The sequence below is a fragment of the Homo sapiens genome, chromosome 15 (genome assembly GCF_000001405.40).
Source record: "Homo sapiens chromosome 15, GRCh38.p14 Primary Assembly".
NCBI classification, from domain to species: Eukaryota; Metazoa; Chordata; class Mammalia; order Primates; family Hominidae; genus Homo; species Homo sapiens.
In genome coordinates, this window is record NC_000015.10 from 83,103,694 (window position 1) to 83,120,990 (window position 17,297).

General features: G+C 51.2%; 2 protein-coding genes across 17 annotated transcripts in view, besides 2 other annotated features; one reads left to right on the plus strand and one right to left on the minus strand.

Moving 5' to 3' along the window:
• Positions 3,580 to 3,859: a silencer, noted in NCBI's record as "silent region_6760". NCBI's record gives its function as "represses an Ori minimal core promoter by ATAC-STARR-seq in GM12878 lymphoblastoid cells {active_cell/tissue: GM12878}" and the evidence as "EXISTENCE:reporter gene assay evidence [ECO:0000049][PMID:35858748]".
• Positions 3,890 to 4,009: a silencer, noted in NCBI's record as "silent region_6761". NCBI's record gives its function as "represses an Ori minimal core promoter by ATAC-STARR-seq in GM12878 lymphoblastoid cells {active_cell/tissue: GM12878}" and the evidence as "EXISTENCE:reporter gene assay evidence [ECO:0000049][PMID:35858748]".
• The window catches only part of TM6SF1 (transmembrane 6 superfamily member 1), a 29,764-nt gene continuing 16,418 nt past the window's right edge, over positions 3,952 to 17,297 (plus strand). For 9 of the 15 annotated variants that reach the window (NR_148560.2, XR_931848.3, XR_007064460.1 and 6 more), the window contains exons 1-4: positions 3,952 to 4,079; positions 9,104 to 9,207; positions 12,152 to 12,249; positions 15,885 to 15,988. Coding sequence is in view for 9 of the 15 variants with exons in the window: in NM_001353878.2 (NP_001340807.1) it covers positions 3,988 to 4,079; positions 9,104 to 9,207; positions 12,152 to 12,249; positions 15,885 to 15,988 (398 nt within the window). In the remaining 6 variants the exon portion in view is untranslated. Of the gene's footprint in view, positions 4,194 to 9,103; positions 9,208 to 12,151; positions 12,250 to 15,884; positions 16,042 to 17,297 lie in introns of all 15 variants that reach the window. The other 6 variants (NM_001353879.2, NM_001353880.2, NM_001353883.2 and 3 more) reach the window with 3 other exon arrangements.
• HDGFL3 (HDGF like 3) overlaps positions 9,045 to 17,297 on the minus strand; it is a 95,086-nt gene continuing 86,833 nt past the window's right edge. The window contains exons 6-7 of one of the 2 annotated variants that reach the window (XR_001751298.3): positions 10,766 to 12,048; positions 9,921 to 10,085 (exon numbers count right to left, since the gene is read on the minus strand). Coding sequence is in view for 1 of the 2 variants with exons in the window: in XM_006720554.5 (XP_006720617.1) it covers positions 12,016 to 12,048 (33 nt within the window). In the remaining variant the exon portion in view is untranslated. Of the gene's footprint in view, positions 12,049 to 17,297 lie in introns of both variants that reach the window. The other variant, XM_006720554.5, reaches the window with a different exon arrangement.

The following is a 17,297-nucleotide window of genomic DNA, read 5'->3' on the forward strand; positions in this document are numbered from 1 at the left end:
GCAACCTCTGCCTCCTGGGTTCAAGTGATTCTTGTGCCTCAGCCTTCTGAGTAGCTGGGACTACAGGCACACATCACCATGCCCGACTAATTTTTGTATTTTTAGTAGAGATAGGGTTTCACCATGTTGCCTAGGCTGGTCTCAAACTCCTGACCTCAAGTGATCTGTCTGCCTCGGCCTCCCAACGTGCTGAGATTACAGGCTGAAGCACTGTGCCTGGCTTGCAAATATTTCTTGAGCACCTCCTATGTACTGGGCATTAATCTAGATGATGGGAATGGAACAATGAACGAGCCAGAGAAGGTTCCCAACCTCGAGGAGCTTCCATTATCATGGAGGAGAGATCCAGACCAGTAAACAAAGGCGTAAGCCAGATAATTTTAGATAGTAAAAGTACTCTGAATCAAATAAAGCAGGGCGCTTGATAGGCGAAAGTTCAGGAGGGTGGTCAGGTAAGGCCTTCTACAGCAGCTGAGTCAACTGAGGTCAGAGGCAGGAATCAGAGGGAGGAGACTAGGACATGTTTAGATGAGAGGCAGTATAGACCAAAACTAAGAGGAGGTGCGGATGGGGAGGAGCAAACAGACTTGAGTGATATTTGGAAAGTCACACTGGGAGAATTGTGTAACAAAAGGAATTCCGGAGAGGTGGGAACTGATGGCTCCCAGGCTTCTGGCTTGGGTGAGTGGGCGAATTGTGGTGCCACCAGATAAAATAAAGCAGGAGTGTGTCTTGAGGAAATGAGGAATTCTGTTTTGACATTGTGAGGTGCCACCGGGATGCCCAGGCAGCCATGCTAAGGGAATAACAGGTCAGGGCTTGTTATTTGGGATCTAGCATCATAGATGTGGCCATTAAAACCAAGTGTGTCTGAGAAAGAAACAAGAGAAGATGGTAGGCAAAAGAGGACACTCAGGGCCAGGTGTGGTGGTTCACACCTGTAATCCCAGCACTTTGGGAGATGGAGGCGGGTGGATCACCTGAGTTCAGGAGTTTGAGACCAGCCCGGCCAACATGATGAAACCCCATCTATACTAAAAATACAAAAATTAGCCGGGTATGGTGGCGGGCACCTGTAATCCTAGTTCCTTGGGAGGCTGAGGCAGAATTGCTTGAACCCGGCGGGGGGCAGGGCAGAGGTTGCAGTGAGCTGAGATTGTGCCACTTCACTCCAGCCTGAGTGAAAGAGCGAGACTTTGTCTCAAAAACAAACAAACAAACAAAAAACAAACAAACAAAAAAAACCCAGGACACTCAGGTTCAGGGAGCAGATTTCTAAATTGGAAGCTACTTGAGCCTGTGTCTAGGTTGAGCGGAAGGATCCAGGGCAGCCAGAGGGGTTCACTTATCCCAAAAGCCAGGGAAGGTTCCTGCGAAAAACTCTTCCCAACTACAAGCATTCTGACCACTCATATTTTCAGCATTAAGAGAGAAACTGGCCGGGCGCGGTGGCTCACGCCTGTAATCCCAGCACTTTGGGAGGCCGAGGCGGGCGGATCACGAGGTCAGGAGATCGAGACCATCCCGGCTAAAACGGTGAAACCCCGTCTCTACTAAAAATACAAAAAATTAGCCGGGCGTAGTGGCGGGCGCCTGTAGTCCCAGCTACTTGGGAGGCTGAGGCAGGAGAATGGCGTGAACCCGGGAGGCGGAGCTTGCAGTGAGCCGAGATCCCGCCACTGCACTCCAGCCTGGGTGACAGAGCGAGACTCCATCTCAAAAAAAAAAAAAAAAAAAAAAAAAAAAAAAAAAAAAAAAGAGAAACTGTTGTCAACAAAAAAATCATGTAATTCCCAATATGTATATCACAATACCTTGAAACTTTGCCATGTCACTTGGGTCCCTTGTGGGCTCTGAGGGAGCAGCTCTGAGACTGATGCAACAAGGTTGGGTGTTGATGGAAGGGATGGGCTGGCTTGGGAGCCTGGCTGGGAGCTCAGAGGTATAGGAGGAAGTGTCTCTTGTCAGGGAGGAAGTAGGAGTTTAAGGAGAGTGGTGAAGGTTAGGGGTGGAAGAGGGTGATGTGCAGGTGACAGGTGAGGACACCTCTTGGAGAAACTTTGGATATGTCACAGTGTGGGCCAAGGCTTAAACGTTATGCACTCAGAGCTGGAGAAGCCTTCAAGAAGAACTAGGATGAAGGATTAGGAGAACTGGCATTTGAAAAGTGGAGTGGCCCTGGAGCAGGCCATACCTCCTCGTAGCTCATTTTCCTCATGTCTAAAATGAGCCAAATGGTCTTTTAGAGGCTAGGTGCGGTGGCTCACACCTGTAATCCCAGCACTTTGGGAGGCCGAGGAGGGAGGATCACTTGAGCCCAGGAGTTTGAGACCAGCTTGGGCAACATAGTGAGACCCTGCCTCTACAAAGAAGTGGTGCGAGACTGTAGTCCCAGGAGCTAAGGAGGCTAAGCTGGGAGGATGGCTTGGCGTGGGAAAGTGGGGACTGCAGTGAGCCCTCATCTCTCCACTGCCTCTAGCCTGGTTTGCAGAGTGAGACCCTGTCTTAAAAAAATAAAAATAAAAATAGGCTGGGCGCGGTGGCTCACGCCTGTAATCCCAGCACTTTGGGAGGCCGAGGCGGGCGGATCACGAGGTCAGGAGATCAAGACCACGGTGAAACCCCGTCTCTACTAAAAATACAAAAAATTAGCCCGGCGCGGTGGCGGGCACCTGTAGTCCCAGCTACTCTGGAGGCTGAGGCAGAATGGCGTGAACCCCGGGAGGTGGAGCTTGCAGTGAGCCAAGATTGCACCACTGCACTCCAGCCTGGGTGACAGAGCGAGACTCTGTCTCAAAAAAAAAAAAAAATAAAAATAATAAATAAATAAATAAATAAATAAATAAAATAAACCCCTCAAATGGCAACAGCAAAAACACATAAATGGTCTCTTAAATTCCCTGGAAGTTGTAAAGACAGTAAGTACATGCCGGTACCTCCCTCAGTTGCTTGAGCTGTTCTCCTGGAACTCACTGCCCTTCAGATAGCCACAACACTTGACACACAATATTTTCCATACCCGTAGGCATCTATCATTCAGAGGAAGAGGCTTATCTTCCAGTCTTTGTACCCTGCAGGGCCCAATGCAGGCTGGCTGGTGGGCACCTGGCCTCCAGGAATGCTTCCTGGAATAGCAATGAATGGCGCTCTAGTCTCTTAGAGTCTCAGCATTTATGTCCATTTCAATTAAAGAAAAAAAAAAAAAAAGAATCGCAGGAGGTGGTGTAGTGAGCAGCACAGGATAACGCGCTTCGTAGGTATGAACTCAGTTAACCCCACAGTCACACTATGAAGTGTGTTATCCCCATTTCCCAGATAAGGGAAAAGACAGAGAGGTTAAGTAATTTGACCAAAGTCAACAGCTGGTGACTGGAGAGCCAGGTTTAAAAACCGGATGCCGGCTCCGTGCAGCAGCCCGCCGATGGCTACTGGAGCGGAGAGGTTCCGAGGTTTCAGGGGCATTTTGTCCTTTCCCACTTCTGGGCCGTGGGCTCCCCCATAGACGATCCCGCGGGCCCTTCCTCCTCTGACACCCTCGGATCTGGTTCCACCTTTCCCGGACCGCAGCTCAGCCCCGCGCCTCTCCAGCTCTTCGATGACCGGTTCCCGGCCGTGCCCCGGGCCCTCCCTCGGAGCGCGCGCCGCCAGGGGCACCTGTCCCTGCGCGGGGGTGTCGCCGCCCCTCGGCGCCGCCGGGCGCTTGCCGCTGAGCCGTGGCGCCCCTGGCAGGAGCACTGCAAGGACGCCTCCCGGGACTGCACCGCGGCCCTGCGCACTTGGGGCGACGGGGCCAGGCGCGGGGGACGGCTGCGGGCTGGGAGGGCGCGCGGAGGAGACACCGCTGAGGGGACGCCGCTGAGGGCGCCACGCGGGGGGCGCGGCTGAGGCGCCTCGAAGGGCAAGCGCCAAGGGGGCGCGGGCGCCGCCGGAAGCTGGGGCGGGGCGCCCAGCGGGATGCGGTGAAGGGCGAGCGGCGCGGCGGCTGCGATGAGTGCCTCTGCGGCCACCGGGGTCTTCGTGCTGTCCCTCTCGGCCATCCCGGTCACCTATGTCTTCAACCACCTGGCGGCCCAGCATGAGTGAGTGAGCCGGCGCGGCGGGGGTCGCGCCGAGGGGCGGCGGGAGTTGGCTCGCCGCGACGGGAGCCTCGCAACTTTTCCGAGGGGGCTGGGACCGTCCGCCGCGGGACAGAGGTTCGTGGCCGCAGGGGCTCCCCGCGCCTGGCCAGACTAGGGGGGCGCCCCAGGGGTCGCACGGGCCGGGTCTTGGAGCCGGGCCCTGAGGTGCCCAGGCTGGCGCATTTCGGGATGTTGGTGCCAGCACCGCGCCAGGTGCCCGGGGTCACAGGCGTCAATACGGCCATGCCCCTGCCCTGGAGGGGCCCAGGGGCCGGTGGGGAGCGGAACAAACACGGACACTACGAACCTGGCCGTGTCAGCTCGTTTGTGCCTTGTTCTTTTTGCATCTCACGGGAACGTTTCCATGTATGGACTTTCGCATACTTATCATTTCTTATTAATTTTAGAAACTGTTGTGAATGACTAGCAGAAATAGCCCGGAACCAACAGGCAGAGACGTGGGTTCTAGGCCTGGCTTTGGCACTGACGGTGTCTGGCCTGACGGTGTTTGGCACTGACGGTGTGGTCTGGCCTCGGTTTTCCGGTCAAGTGGACTTTGTGTGCGTCCTATTGTAAGGTTCCACCGAGACCTCTTTGTGAAGGGGCGTTGTGAATGGAGAAGTGCTTCCCAGTGCCTGCGCTGGGGTAGGATGGGGACAGGCAGCAGAGGCAGAACACTTCAATGTGAAGGAAATGGGTGGGGCTGATGGAGGGGGACAGGGCTTGGGTTCGAAGCCCTGCCTCCCACTCCACTGCAGGGATCACGGACTAACCTGCAGCCGGCAGCTGAAGGCCTGAGGGTCGCCGGGTGTTGGGACAGGCGCCAGCCTCTGTTCCTGCTGATGTTGGTTGCTGTCTGGAGGGAGGAGGAAGTAACCTGCTATGTCTCTCAGCTGTTGGTGCTAAGGAAATTGCATCAGTCTGTAGGCTGCAAACCCCCTTCAGCTGGTCAGGCCGTGGAGTGTCTGTACATAGGGTGGTAACTTCCTCCTCTCCAGCTGCCTGGCCGCCTGATACAGGCAGCACCCACACTGAGTGCTCACCAGGCACCAGCAGTGTCTACCCTTGGTCTGGCCCAGTCTCTGGAGGCATCCCCTGGAGGCAGCTGCTCTGGGCCACCGAATATTACATGCCTGTCAATATAGTGCATGGGGGACCCTGTGCTCCAAAAAATGGCATTACGGGTAGTTCAGTGAAGATATACTGAGTGCCTACTGTGTGTTTGGCACTGTTCCAAGTGTTGGTGACATAGCTATGAACAAGCCAGAAGAGGCTGTGGAGGCAGGTAATGAGATAGACATCAACAAACATTAATACATCGATAGTGACATGCTATGAAGATAATAAAATAGGGTGACTGGGGAGGGGGCTGGTGGCCAGGGAAGGCTTCTAGGAGGAGGTAACACTTGAGCTATGGGAAGATCTGGGAATGGAGCCTGTCGGGCAGGAAAATGGAGCAGTGCAGGGGAAGGAATTGGATGGGCGTAGTAGGTATTTTGGAAGGTGAACAGATGGGGCTTACTGAAGAGGGTTGCATGGCAGCAGAGGATTTGAGGATGAGCCCTAGGTTTTGGCCTCAGCCACTGGGAAGATGGTGATGGCATTTACTGAATACAGACTGAACTATGTATTGCTGTGCATGATGGAGCGCACTGGCAAGCACTACAGCATTTTGAATAATTAGTGTCAGCCATTCTTCCTGTCCTCTTGCAGGTTAAAACCCCCGTGGCCTTTGATTCCTCTCTTCTTTCTCCACTCCCTTCCTCCTACTGTCTGCTTCCCCATAAGTCCTGGGGCTCTAGTGTCTGTTCCCTCCTTTCAGTTCTCCCTGGCACTGGCCCTTTCTGACCTGGACTGTGGCAAAGGCTCCGGTGCAAGTCTCGCTGCCCAGCCCCGCTGCGTGTTTCTCGGCCTCGGCCCCCCAGTCCCAGCCCACGCACTAGTGCTCCTGCCGCACCAGCCTGCCTTTGCTCCTTGACCATTCCTCCTCCTCTCCAGCCTCTAGCCCGGACTCCTGCTGCTCCCTGACAGGGATGCTGCCTTCCTCCTATCGCAGACTGTTGAAGCCGCACCTGGACTTTATGGCCACTTCTACCTTCTGCAGACCCTCCCTCTCTCTCCTTTGAGCTCCCTCAGTCCCTTGTTTGCACCTTTCTCCCGAGAGTTACTTTCCTGTGGTAAGAACTTACCTGCCCCGGCTATAGCTCACCCCTCTGTACTGTCCTGCCCAGGCCAGCGCCGTGTGCATCGTAGGCACTCAGGTATGTTTGACTTTGTTGAATCGAGTTTCCTTCCCACCAAACCTTTTATGCAACTCTGAAAACCAGAAAAAGAAAATTAGATTGAGAGGTCAGGAAAGGATTGAGCGTGTTCTGTCTCCCTCTCTCACTGAGAGAGACACACTGCTCACACTCATCCTTGCATGTCCCCTCTCAGTAGGTGTCTGTTCATAGAAGGGCATCAGCAGCCCTTCCCACCCCCCAAGACTAGCAACTTTCTCATCCTGGGGTTAGTCGCAGCCCTTACCTGTCCCTGAGTCCCTGCAGGACCTGTTTCTTCCTGTGGTGAGCAGGTCCTGCACTTGGCTGTTGTAGGAGGGTCTCTGGGGACAGTGCCAAGAGTCAGAGACAATCTGCTGCCCTAGTTTCCCTTCATTCTTCCCTCCTCTCCTGGAGCTAAGAGCATGAGAGGACGCTGTGAACCAGTTCACACTGCTCTGTCCTGCTCCAGAAGAGCACCAACCACGCGATCCTGCTGGCAGTGAGTGCAGGCCCTTGGTAGGAGTGAAGACTGGAGTTGTCACCTGACCACCACCTGCCTCAGGCTGTTCACCATTAAAATGCCTGTCAGCTGACCCAGCACACCCACCTCTTCCCTCATGGGATTCTTCAGCCCAGCATCATACTCTTGACCCACACTGGCTTCCTCCTTCTTCAGCTCATCCCCACAGGAGGAGCCTGGAGCAACCACTGAAGTGCAATCACCAGAAACCTCCTATTTTTCAGTTTCTCACCTGGACATTGAAACAGCCACCCTCATTCTTTTTTAAAAAATGTAATTAATTGTTATTATTTTTTGAGACGGACTCTTGCTCTGTCATCCAAGCGGGACTGCAGTGGTGCAATCTTGGCTCACTGCAGCCTCCAACCCCCAGGTTCAAGCAATTCTACTGCCTCAGCCTCCCAAGTAGCGGGGATTACAGGCATCCGCCACCTCGCCTGGCTAATTTTTTGTATTTTTAGTAGAGACGGGGTTTCACCATGTTGGCCAGGCTGGTCTCCAACTCCTGACCTCGGGTGATCCACCCGCCTCGACCTCCCAAAGTGCTTGGATTACAGGTGTGAGCCACTGCGCCCGGCCTCATTCTTATCATAGAATTGATCCATCTATCATTTATCCATCCATCCTCCATACATTCACCCATACTCCATCCATCCACTCATCATCATCTATCCATCCATTTATCCATCATCCTCCATCATCCATCAATTCATCCATCATCCATCCATCCATTTATCCATCATCCTCCATCATCCATCAATTCATCCATCATCCATCCATCTATTCACCCATCATCCACCCATTCACCCATCATCCATCCATCCATTCATCCATCATCTATCCATTCATCCATCATCTATCCATCCTTTCATCCATCATCCATCCAACCATTCACCCATCATCCATCCATCTATCCATCCACTCATCGTCTATTTGTTCCCCCCTTCCCTCCCTCCTTCTATTCTTATCTTTCTCTCTCCTAGGGGACGGTGATAGTTATCCAAAGGTCCCGATGTTGGGCTGTGGTGGTGTGGAGGGGTCTCAGTTGAGGAGTGGTGCTTGTAGCTGCTCCAATCTGAAGAGGTCCTGGTGTAGCAGGCCATTGGAGTGGGCCAGGTAGTATTTTGTCTAGAATTGGAAGCCCTGTCAGTGCTGGAGGTGTGAGAGGGAGAGTATTGCTGTTGGACTGCAGGAGAACTCCTAGTGGGTAGAGCTCAGAGTCCATTGAGATAGGTTCCTCCATGTAGGCAGGGACTTCTCTTATTTATCCAGTCTCCTAGGGCCTGCAACAATGGCTACCACATAGGGGTGCAGAATACATTTTTTTGCTTGCTATGTTTTTGAATTAATTAATAAACAGATAGATGCAATGATGTGACTTTCCTAGGGTGACACAGTTAGCAACAGAATGGGTACCAGGATCCCGGTTTCCTGACTGATAACTCTACCAAGCCTCGTGCCCTATCGCTGCCCCACTGAGTAGCGGCTTTGGCCCCTGCTGTCCTTGGTGCCACTCCCTTTCCTGTAGAACATCCAGGGGATGTACTCAACTAAGCTTCACCTTGGTTTCTATGGTTTGGGGTTGGATGCTGGTCTGTTGGCCCTGGTTCTGGGGTGTTGGGCTATCTTCATTCTGGCCTCAGGTCTAGTCCAGACTCCTTCTCCATGGATTTCCTGGCCTCATTCTCTGGCCCATTTGACTATACACATAACATAAGGTCTTTCTTGTCCCCTGGAAGGCATGTTTAGTTGTAATGCCTATATATTCCTTGGAGCTCAGTCTGAGGGTTTCTGACTGGCCCTGAGGGAGGTGGCAGAGTCAGTGGTGAGGCCTGTCAGCTGCTAGGGAGCAGGGGTTAGAGGAACGTGTAAGTGGAGGCAGTGGGGCAGTGGCCATAGGTGCAGCAGGGTGGGGTGAGGCAGAGGGAGCTCCAGACGTGTCATCTGTGCACATGAGACAGGATAAGAGGAGAATGAGGAGGACCTGATGGCTTCGGTCCCTGAAAGTCATGGGCTGCAGCCCAGATGGGCCAAAGAGCTGCAGATAAACTTCACTAACTCTACAGTGCTGGGAGCTGCAGGCAGAGGCAGAATTATGGATGAATTATGCAGCACTAGGAGGGAATGCATTCAATAGTCAGGAAATTCCAGGCACCAATGTGTTTATTTTGATAGTGACCACCTCCCTGTTCTGGTCGTTGCAGTTCCTGGACTATTGTAGGGGTTGCTGCCCTCATCCTGTTCCTGGTAGCACTGCTGGCTCGTGTCCTCGTCAAAAGAAAACCACCCCGGGACCCACTGTTCTATGGTACGTCTCCACAAAGGGAAATCTTTTGTATCTGATTAATAACACAATACTTTCAGCCTCAGTCACATATTCCTCCTTGGTTGTGAATACTCTGAGCCCTTTGGTAACAGTGGCTGCAAGTGTAGGGGTGTTTCAGGACAATCTGGCCCTCGCCTCTGGCTATTGCCTCTCAGGCAGTGGACTCCACCCTCTCCCAGGTGGCATCCCGGTGGAGAGTTACTGCCAGGCCAGGCAGGGCACCCTGCCAACCCCAGCATGCTTTGACCTCTGACCTCTGACCTCGACTCTCATGCTAGCTCCTTCCTGGGCTTCCTGTCTTCAGCCTGCTACTAGCAGTCCCCCCCACTTAGTGCAGAACTTAACTGTGTGGTGTCTGGGTCTGCACATATGCATGAAGAGGAAAATAATGGAACCTGCCATAGAGACAAGCACCTATAGTGCACCTTGTATGACCCTGAGCACTTTAGCAGCAGGCTTTCACCTAATCCTCACCATCCCTCCACTTGAAAGTGAAGCAGCTGGCTTGGAGATGCTAAGAAATGTGGCAAAGGTCGTGTGGCTGTTGACCCCTAAAGCCCATGCCCTTCCATCATGCATGCTGCCCCAGCCAAGCTGCTACCGGCCTTTGAGCACTTCCTGTGCCAGGTACCTTGCTGGGCATTTTGTTCTGTAGTTTCTGCTTCAGTAATGCTGCATATCAAATGCACCCCAAGTCCTACAGCAACAAACATTTATTTTTCTTGCTCACAGGTCTGTGGGTTGGGGCCACTCTGCATCAGGCTGTGGGTTGATTTCAGGGCTGTTCTCTGACTCCTTGTTCTTGGACCAGCAGCTCCCAGGCATGCCCTTCTCATGGCAGATACAGAGGCACAGTGGGGCTAGAAGGAAGAAAGTGGTGGCTCTTAAGGCCTTGGCTTGGAGCTGCCCCATCTTACTCCCACCCATATTCCAATGGCTGAGATGAGGCATAGGGCCAAGCCCATCAGCAACAGCATAGGGAGCATTCTCTGCCTACAGTGGGCCTTGGGAAAGGTGGGGTGGGAAGGAAGAATTGTGAGTAACTAGTTTCTCCCAATCCACATATAAGAAGCTCTGAAGCTTCAGAAATGATGTAATTTGCCTAAGGTTTTACAGCCAGTCATTAGATGAGCTGGGTCCGTCTGCTTTCAAGGCCCACATGCCTTTTCCTGGCTCTCTCCACTAGCCTGTGCTCTGACCCTTGCACACCTTTCCAGATGAGTTTCCTGCTGCTGTCTGTCCCTCCTGTTCCTCCCCACTCCATGGAGCCTGTATTAACTGTACTGATGTCTCTCCTGACTCTTCAAGGCTGGGCACCCTTTCTCCTGTACCCTCAGCCCTCTGTCCTGGTCTGTTACAACTTTGAGTACACTGCAGCCTCAGGGTGAGGCTCAAGGCCAGACTCCTCACGTACTAGAAGGCAGAGACCATGTCCTTGTCATTGCTAACACAGTGTCTGACACTTGTGTTGTCATCAGCAATCATTGGCAGATTATGTGCCGAACACTTCCTTTCTTGGAGACATATGATGGCTAATCACCTGGGAGGCTTCTGGAAAATGAGTATCAGGAAGTGACACTGCCAATGAGAACTGGGCCAAAGGCCCCCATGGAGGCGTGGGGAAGGCACATCTGCAAAACAGGGCACATGTGGCCTTTTGTTCCTTCTGGGGAGAATGTGAATGCTGGACTCCTGGCTGCTGACTCCAGGCAAGGCCGGCTTCCCTTCTCTGTGAATTAACCATCCCCACACTCCTCTCCATTTCTTTTTTCACAGCTTTTCTTATATTCACCATCAGATTTTTCTTCTGTCCATGTCCATCCCATAGTCTAAGGCACCAATCTGTTACAACTTGAAAATGCAGCTTTGACAAACTAACATGCACTAAATTTGATCACCTGCTGTTTAAAAAGTATTATTTCTTAGTTATTTGTGCTAGTAGTTTTAAGCCCATTTAGGAGATGCTCACAACTCTGGTAAGATTCTCTGACAGGTATAGCTTTCCTTCTGTCATATTCAATTATACCCTCTTGTATTCATTTTTAACATCACTAGTCTTTTTTCTGAAAGCCATTGTCACTTGCACATCAGCCACCTGTCTGTCTCTAGGATACGCCATGTGGAATAGGGTAACCACACTGGACACGCTGTGAGGTGGCCTGCTTGGGAATCATTGAGATGAATCACTTCGTCAAGTCATTGTCTTTTTTTTTTTTTGAGACAGAGTCTTGTTCTGTCGCCCAGGCTGGAGTGCAGTGGTGTGATCTCGGCTCACTGCAACCTCCGCCTCCTGGGTTCAAGCAATTCACTTGTCTCAGCCTCTGGAGTAGCTGGGATTACAGGCGTGCACCACCACACCCAGAAAATTTTTGTATTTTTAGTAGAGACGGGGTTTCAATATGTTGGCCAGGCTGGTCTTGAACTCCTGACCTCAGGTGATCTGCCTGCTTCAGCCTCCCAAAGTGCTGGGATTACAGACTTGAGCCACCATGCCCAGCCTGAATCATTGTCTTAAACTTAGTGGTCACTTCTATGCTTCCTTGGCCACTCAGTTACTGGCTTTGCTCCCACTGCCCATGTGGGATGTGGGTTTGATTCTGGGCAGCCACTTGTAGGGGAGTGGAGGATGGGTGGAGTTGGCCTGCTAGAATCTTCTGTGACTGAGCCGGCAGTGACCATCATTCTCCACTCCTGTGATGAGTGTTCCCTTGATGAGAGTACTTAGGCAGGGATGGGGAGAGCTGCGAACACAGGTGGAGGTCCAGCTGGGTGTGTAGAAGGGGTATTCTGTTAGTCTATCTCGATAATTGTCCACAGCATCTTCTGGAAAACATGAAAAACATTCCATTATTATTAGCTGATGCCAAGCTTGTAGTAATTGTCTCCTGAGCTATTGCTTTTTAAACTGCTGCTTTCTTTGCTCTAGTGTATGCAGTTTTTGGATTTACCAGCGTGGTGAACCTCATCATAGGACTGGAGCAAGATGGAATCATTGACGGGTTCATGACACACTACTTGAGAGAGGTATGGGATCACTTAGTGATTATGAGGTTTCAACCAAAAGGCCACAACCCAGATCACATTACTCAGAGACAGAAATCCTCTCATTTAGTGTGAACAGGTACGCTACGCAGGCTTTCATTTCCTATAATAGCCTTAGGTCGCTTAGTCACATGGAAAGTGGAGCAGAAAGGACGGTTAGATCACGAGAGGCAATTCTCTCCAACATTCAGCTCTCACGGCTTCTCTCACTCATGACCGCACACATGACCTGCTTTTCCCCTTTATCTGTATTTAATATAAATAAGGTACCTTAAATGGATTTAGTATTTATGTGTCTGTTAATACATGACTATCTCAGAAACCCCAAGTCAGTCTTAAATTTGTAAAGTACCCAACACAGAGGCACTTGATGAAGTCATTTGATTGTGATGGCTTGCACTCTCCACCATGCTGCCCAAATCATAGCTTTGATACTACCTGGTACTCGAGAGAGCTAGTCCTATTTTCTTATTTTATGGTGGGCTGAACCCAGCCCCAGAGAGGTTAAGTGACTTATTCAAGGTGACACAGGAAATGAGGAAAAGGGCTCAAAGCAGATTCTTCATCCATGTTCAGATAATGGGGAGCTTTGTATGTACGCTGTGGGAGTTTGGGTTTTATCCTGTCTGTGAGGGAAGATTTTAAGTCAGTGAAGAATACAGGCAGCTCTGGGAAGGATGGGCTTGCAGGGAAGGGTCCGTGCCATGAGCTGGGGCACCAGTCAGGAGGCTTCCTCGGGACCAGCAGGGGCATAAACGTGGCTGGATGGAGGCAGCGCATGGGAAGTAGAGAGAGGGATGAACTTTAGAGAATCGGAGTGGCTGGAATGAATAAGACTTGGGGACAAATTGGGAGTGATGGGAAGGATGAGGCCTAAGACAGTGTCCTGATTCCTGCTTTGGAATTTGGAAGAATGCTGCTGTTTTTACACCAGAGAGGGATGACAGGAGGAATTTATTTCTGCAGACATTTGTTGAAGGGGACTCTGTGGTCAGAAGACCTGCTCCCTGCCCCCTGGGAGCTCCCTGCCTGAAAGGGTGGGGAGATGGAATTGTCCCAGGCACAGTGAGAGACTCACTCCAGGCACAGAAGTACTCAGAGGAGGAATTAAGTCTGGGTGCAGTCGGGGAAGGCTTATTGAGTTGGTGACACTGCTGTAGCATTTTAAAAATGGTCATGGCAGTGGAAGATGGACATTTCCAGATGGACCAGGGAGGTAGGGGGAATTCCGGAGAGAAGGGACAGCTTGGGCAAAGGCTTGGAGAGGAGAAAGAGCATGTGCCTCTCCCTGGGGCACCAATCTGCAAGGATGAGGCTGAGTTTCTATGGGGAGGTGGAGTTTCAGATGCTGGCAGGGCTTTGCAGGTCTTGAGCTCTGAGGAGCAGTCCTGGAAGAGAGAGTCACGGGCCATCGGAGTGCAGTTGGTACCTGAATGTCTGAGAGGAGAAGGGCTTGCCTATGAGAAGGTAGAGAGAGAAAAGGGCTGAGCTTGGGACTTTAGAGACCATGGCCAGAAGAAGAGAAGCCCCTGAAGTGGACCATGGGGGGCAGGCCAAGAGGCAGAAGGAAAACCTGGAGAGTGGGGGCCATGGAGCCCAGAGGAGGGAGGTTTTAGGAAGGAGGCGGCTGACGAGAGGGCTGGAGGCTGAGTTGGCAAGGGTGGTAAGCATTGGGGCAGACGGGGTATCAGAAGGGGGACTGGGGTGTAACTGTGGTGGCAAGGTCTGCAGGGCCAGGCTCTGGGGACCCAGCTGTGATAGAGAGGAGATGGGGCTTGGTCCAGCAGGCTGTGACAAGTTTTGGGGAGTTTTAGAGTAGAGGAACAACATGCCAAGAGCCAGGCCTTGAGAATCTTTATCTGGCAGGAGGAGTGTCATGGGTTGGAAGGAGGGGACAAAGGTAGGGAGACCATTTGGGAACATAGCTGTGGTCCAGTGAGGGACACTGAGGGCTAGACCTAATGCTGTGAAGAAGAGGGAGAATTGCCGGGGTGACATCGTAGCAATAAAGTTGATAGATTTGCTGAGAGACTGCATAGGAGAATGAGGAATGAAAAAATGACCATGTGGTTTTGACCTTGGTAAGCCGAATGGTTTCACCATTAATATAGAGAGGCCATGGCTGGCCTGGTGGCTCATGCCTGTAATCTCAGTGCTTTGGAAGACAAAGGCGGGAGGATCGCTTGACGCCAGGAGTTGAGACTGCAGTGAGCAATGATCACCACTGCACTCTAGACCGGGTGACAGAGTGAGACCCTGTCTCTGTACGTACACACACACACACACACACACACACACACACACATACAGAGAGAGCAAGAGAGAGAGAGGCAAGATGGAAGGCTGGTTGAGGGGAGAAGCTGATGAATTAAGAGTTCAGGCGAGTTGAAAGGACCTGTGGCCTGTGCACCATGCAGTTAAAGATGCTCATCAAGCTACCAGGAGAGGCCAGCACTGGCTCAGAGAGCCAGGTGTGTTAGCAATGGAAGTCTGAAACCATAAATCGGATGTATTCTTCAGTCAGAGCAAGTCCAAGAGAAGGGACGTGGGCCTGGCATGGGTGTAGAAGCAGAACCTTGATTCTGTTTCCTGCTTCTCTGATTTTAATTTGATTTGATCTGTGGGAGAGATGACAGAGCAGTCCTTGCCCCAGGGGAGCATGAAGCTTAAGAGAAAGCCCTGCTTGCTTGGCTGATTGATGGGCTGGTTGATCTGCACTCTTCCTTGTTGTAGAAAGGACTTAAGGCATCTTACAGCGTGAAACAAGCCAGGACAGCATGAACGTGGGAGAAAGAGGAAAGGAAAACAAGGTGGGGCCAAAACAACAGTAAAAATGCACGGAAAATTGATGACAGTGATTTTCTAGAAGCCACCTGGAAATGTAACCACCTAGAAAAGGGAAATGTAGTTCGTCATATAATCTTGTGTTCATAACATTAACATTTGCCCAGGAGAAGTATGGCTCTTCTTGGTCTCTGCTAGGTATACTAGCTACGTGACCTTAGGAAAGTCTTGTAATCTCAGAGCATCTGTTTCCTCATCTGTAAAATGGACTCAATCCTGTCCATCCCACTGGGTTGTTGGGAAGGTAGAAGGAGGGGTTGGGTGTGAAGCTCCGAGTTCGGTGCCTGCCTGCCTATGTGTCAGTATGTGGGGAATGAGTGTTGTGCCATGCCCAGCCCAGCAAGCCACGGGATCAGCATGAATTATTAAGGCCAGCCACTGGTTCTGGAAAGCAGGGTCATCCCTGGCCACCTCTCTGGTCACTGCCAAGCACCTTGTGTCAAAGATTTGGCTTGGTCTCCATGAGTTTGCCATACAGCCAGGATTGCCTATCATGCCATCTGCCTTCGCATCACAGTACAAACCTATGTTGATGCATCATGGGCCAATTGGCCAGGCATTCTCTAATTCCATCCTCTGTGGCCAGACCCTGGTTTTGGCAGCTCCAGCGTAAAGTTGTATTTTCATGTTCCTACCAATTTTGAAGAAATAGTTTCATCTTAGCAGATGAACACAAGTTAGTTCTGCTGTTTTATTTTACTTGCAATACAGGTCTGATGTTCTGCATTTACAGGTCTTATTTAAAGTGGACTTCTTTTTAATGCTTTCTTTAGGGTGAACCGTATCTGAACACCGCATATGGGCACATGATCTGCTACTGGGATGGCTCTGCTCATTATCTGATGTACCTGGTGATGGTGGCAGCCATAGCATGGGAGTAAGTCAGTTCACCTGGTGTGTGCCTTTGCCACCTTAGCAACCGATAAGCGGGTATGTAAGGAAACGTTATGCATAGAGGCAAATACACAAGCAGGTATACTGGACATGAATATAAGTTCCATGGGTGCACGTCAGACGTGGCTTTATCCTCCTTGTACCACTGCCTTTTGAATATGTCCTTCTGAATTGCTCCCTAGCATGGTGACAGCTCGGGCAGACCCTTTAAGCTTTCTGATTATGTTGTCTTACAAGAATAATTTTTATTTTCAGCAATTAAAGCTAAGCACATCTTAAACTTCATTTCAAAACTTCAAAATTTCCAAACAGCAATCTCATTTCGGTTCAAAGCTTCTGTCCTTCCCCAGATCAGGCACAGCTCTGCGGCTTGGCTCGCACTAAGGCTTGGCTACATGGCTTGTCCGTTCACTCCTCCTGTCTCACTCTGCGGCTGGCCCCTTGGCAGTGGATGTGTATGTACAAGGGATTAAAGGAACAGGAGCCGAGTCTGATGTGAAAGGTGCTGGTTTTTGGGTATTGGTACCCCCATCATGATATGCTAGCTTGGTCTTGGGAGGCACACATGTGAGTTCTTTAGAGACCCCAACCACAGGAGCTTCTGCATTGCACTAATCCCTGAAGTGAACGACGTGCTCTTGGGCTGAATTTCTGCCCATGGTGGCACACCCACAGCTTTTTTTCTGCTGGGGCCCCTGTAACCCAGAAGGTACACCCTTTGGGGAGGGGTCTTTTCAAAACATTTCAAGTCCGGCCATCTTCTCAGGCCTCCACTTGCTTCTGGGTTACAGAAAGTCATGCATTCTTGCCCCATACAAGGTTGAAATGTAGTTTACCCAAGTATCTCCCTCACTCCCAACATGCACTCAAGGTCAGCTCCAGCTAATTCTTTTTTTTTTTTTTTTTTTTTGAGACAGGCTGGAGTGCAATGGCACAATCTCAGCTCACTGCAATCTCCGCCTCCCAGGTTCAAGCGATTCTCAGGCCTCAGCTGGGACTACAGGCGTGTGTCACTATACCCGCAAATTTTGTATTTTTAGTACACAAATCTAAACATTTTTTTCACCATGTTGGCCAGGCTGGTCTCAAACTCCTGACCTCTGGTGATCTGCCCGCCTCAGCCTCCCAAAGTGCTGGGATTACAGGCGTGAACCACCGTGCCCGGCTCCAGCTCATTCTTATCTGTTCTCCTGCTTATAATCCCAGTCATTATGAATGGGCCTCTTGGGGTCTGGTTACATTTGGCTTGAGGGCGGGGGTGGGGCAGGACGCACACAGTATTCTCGTTTCCC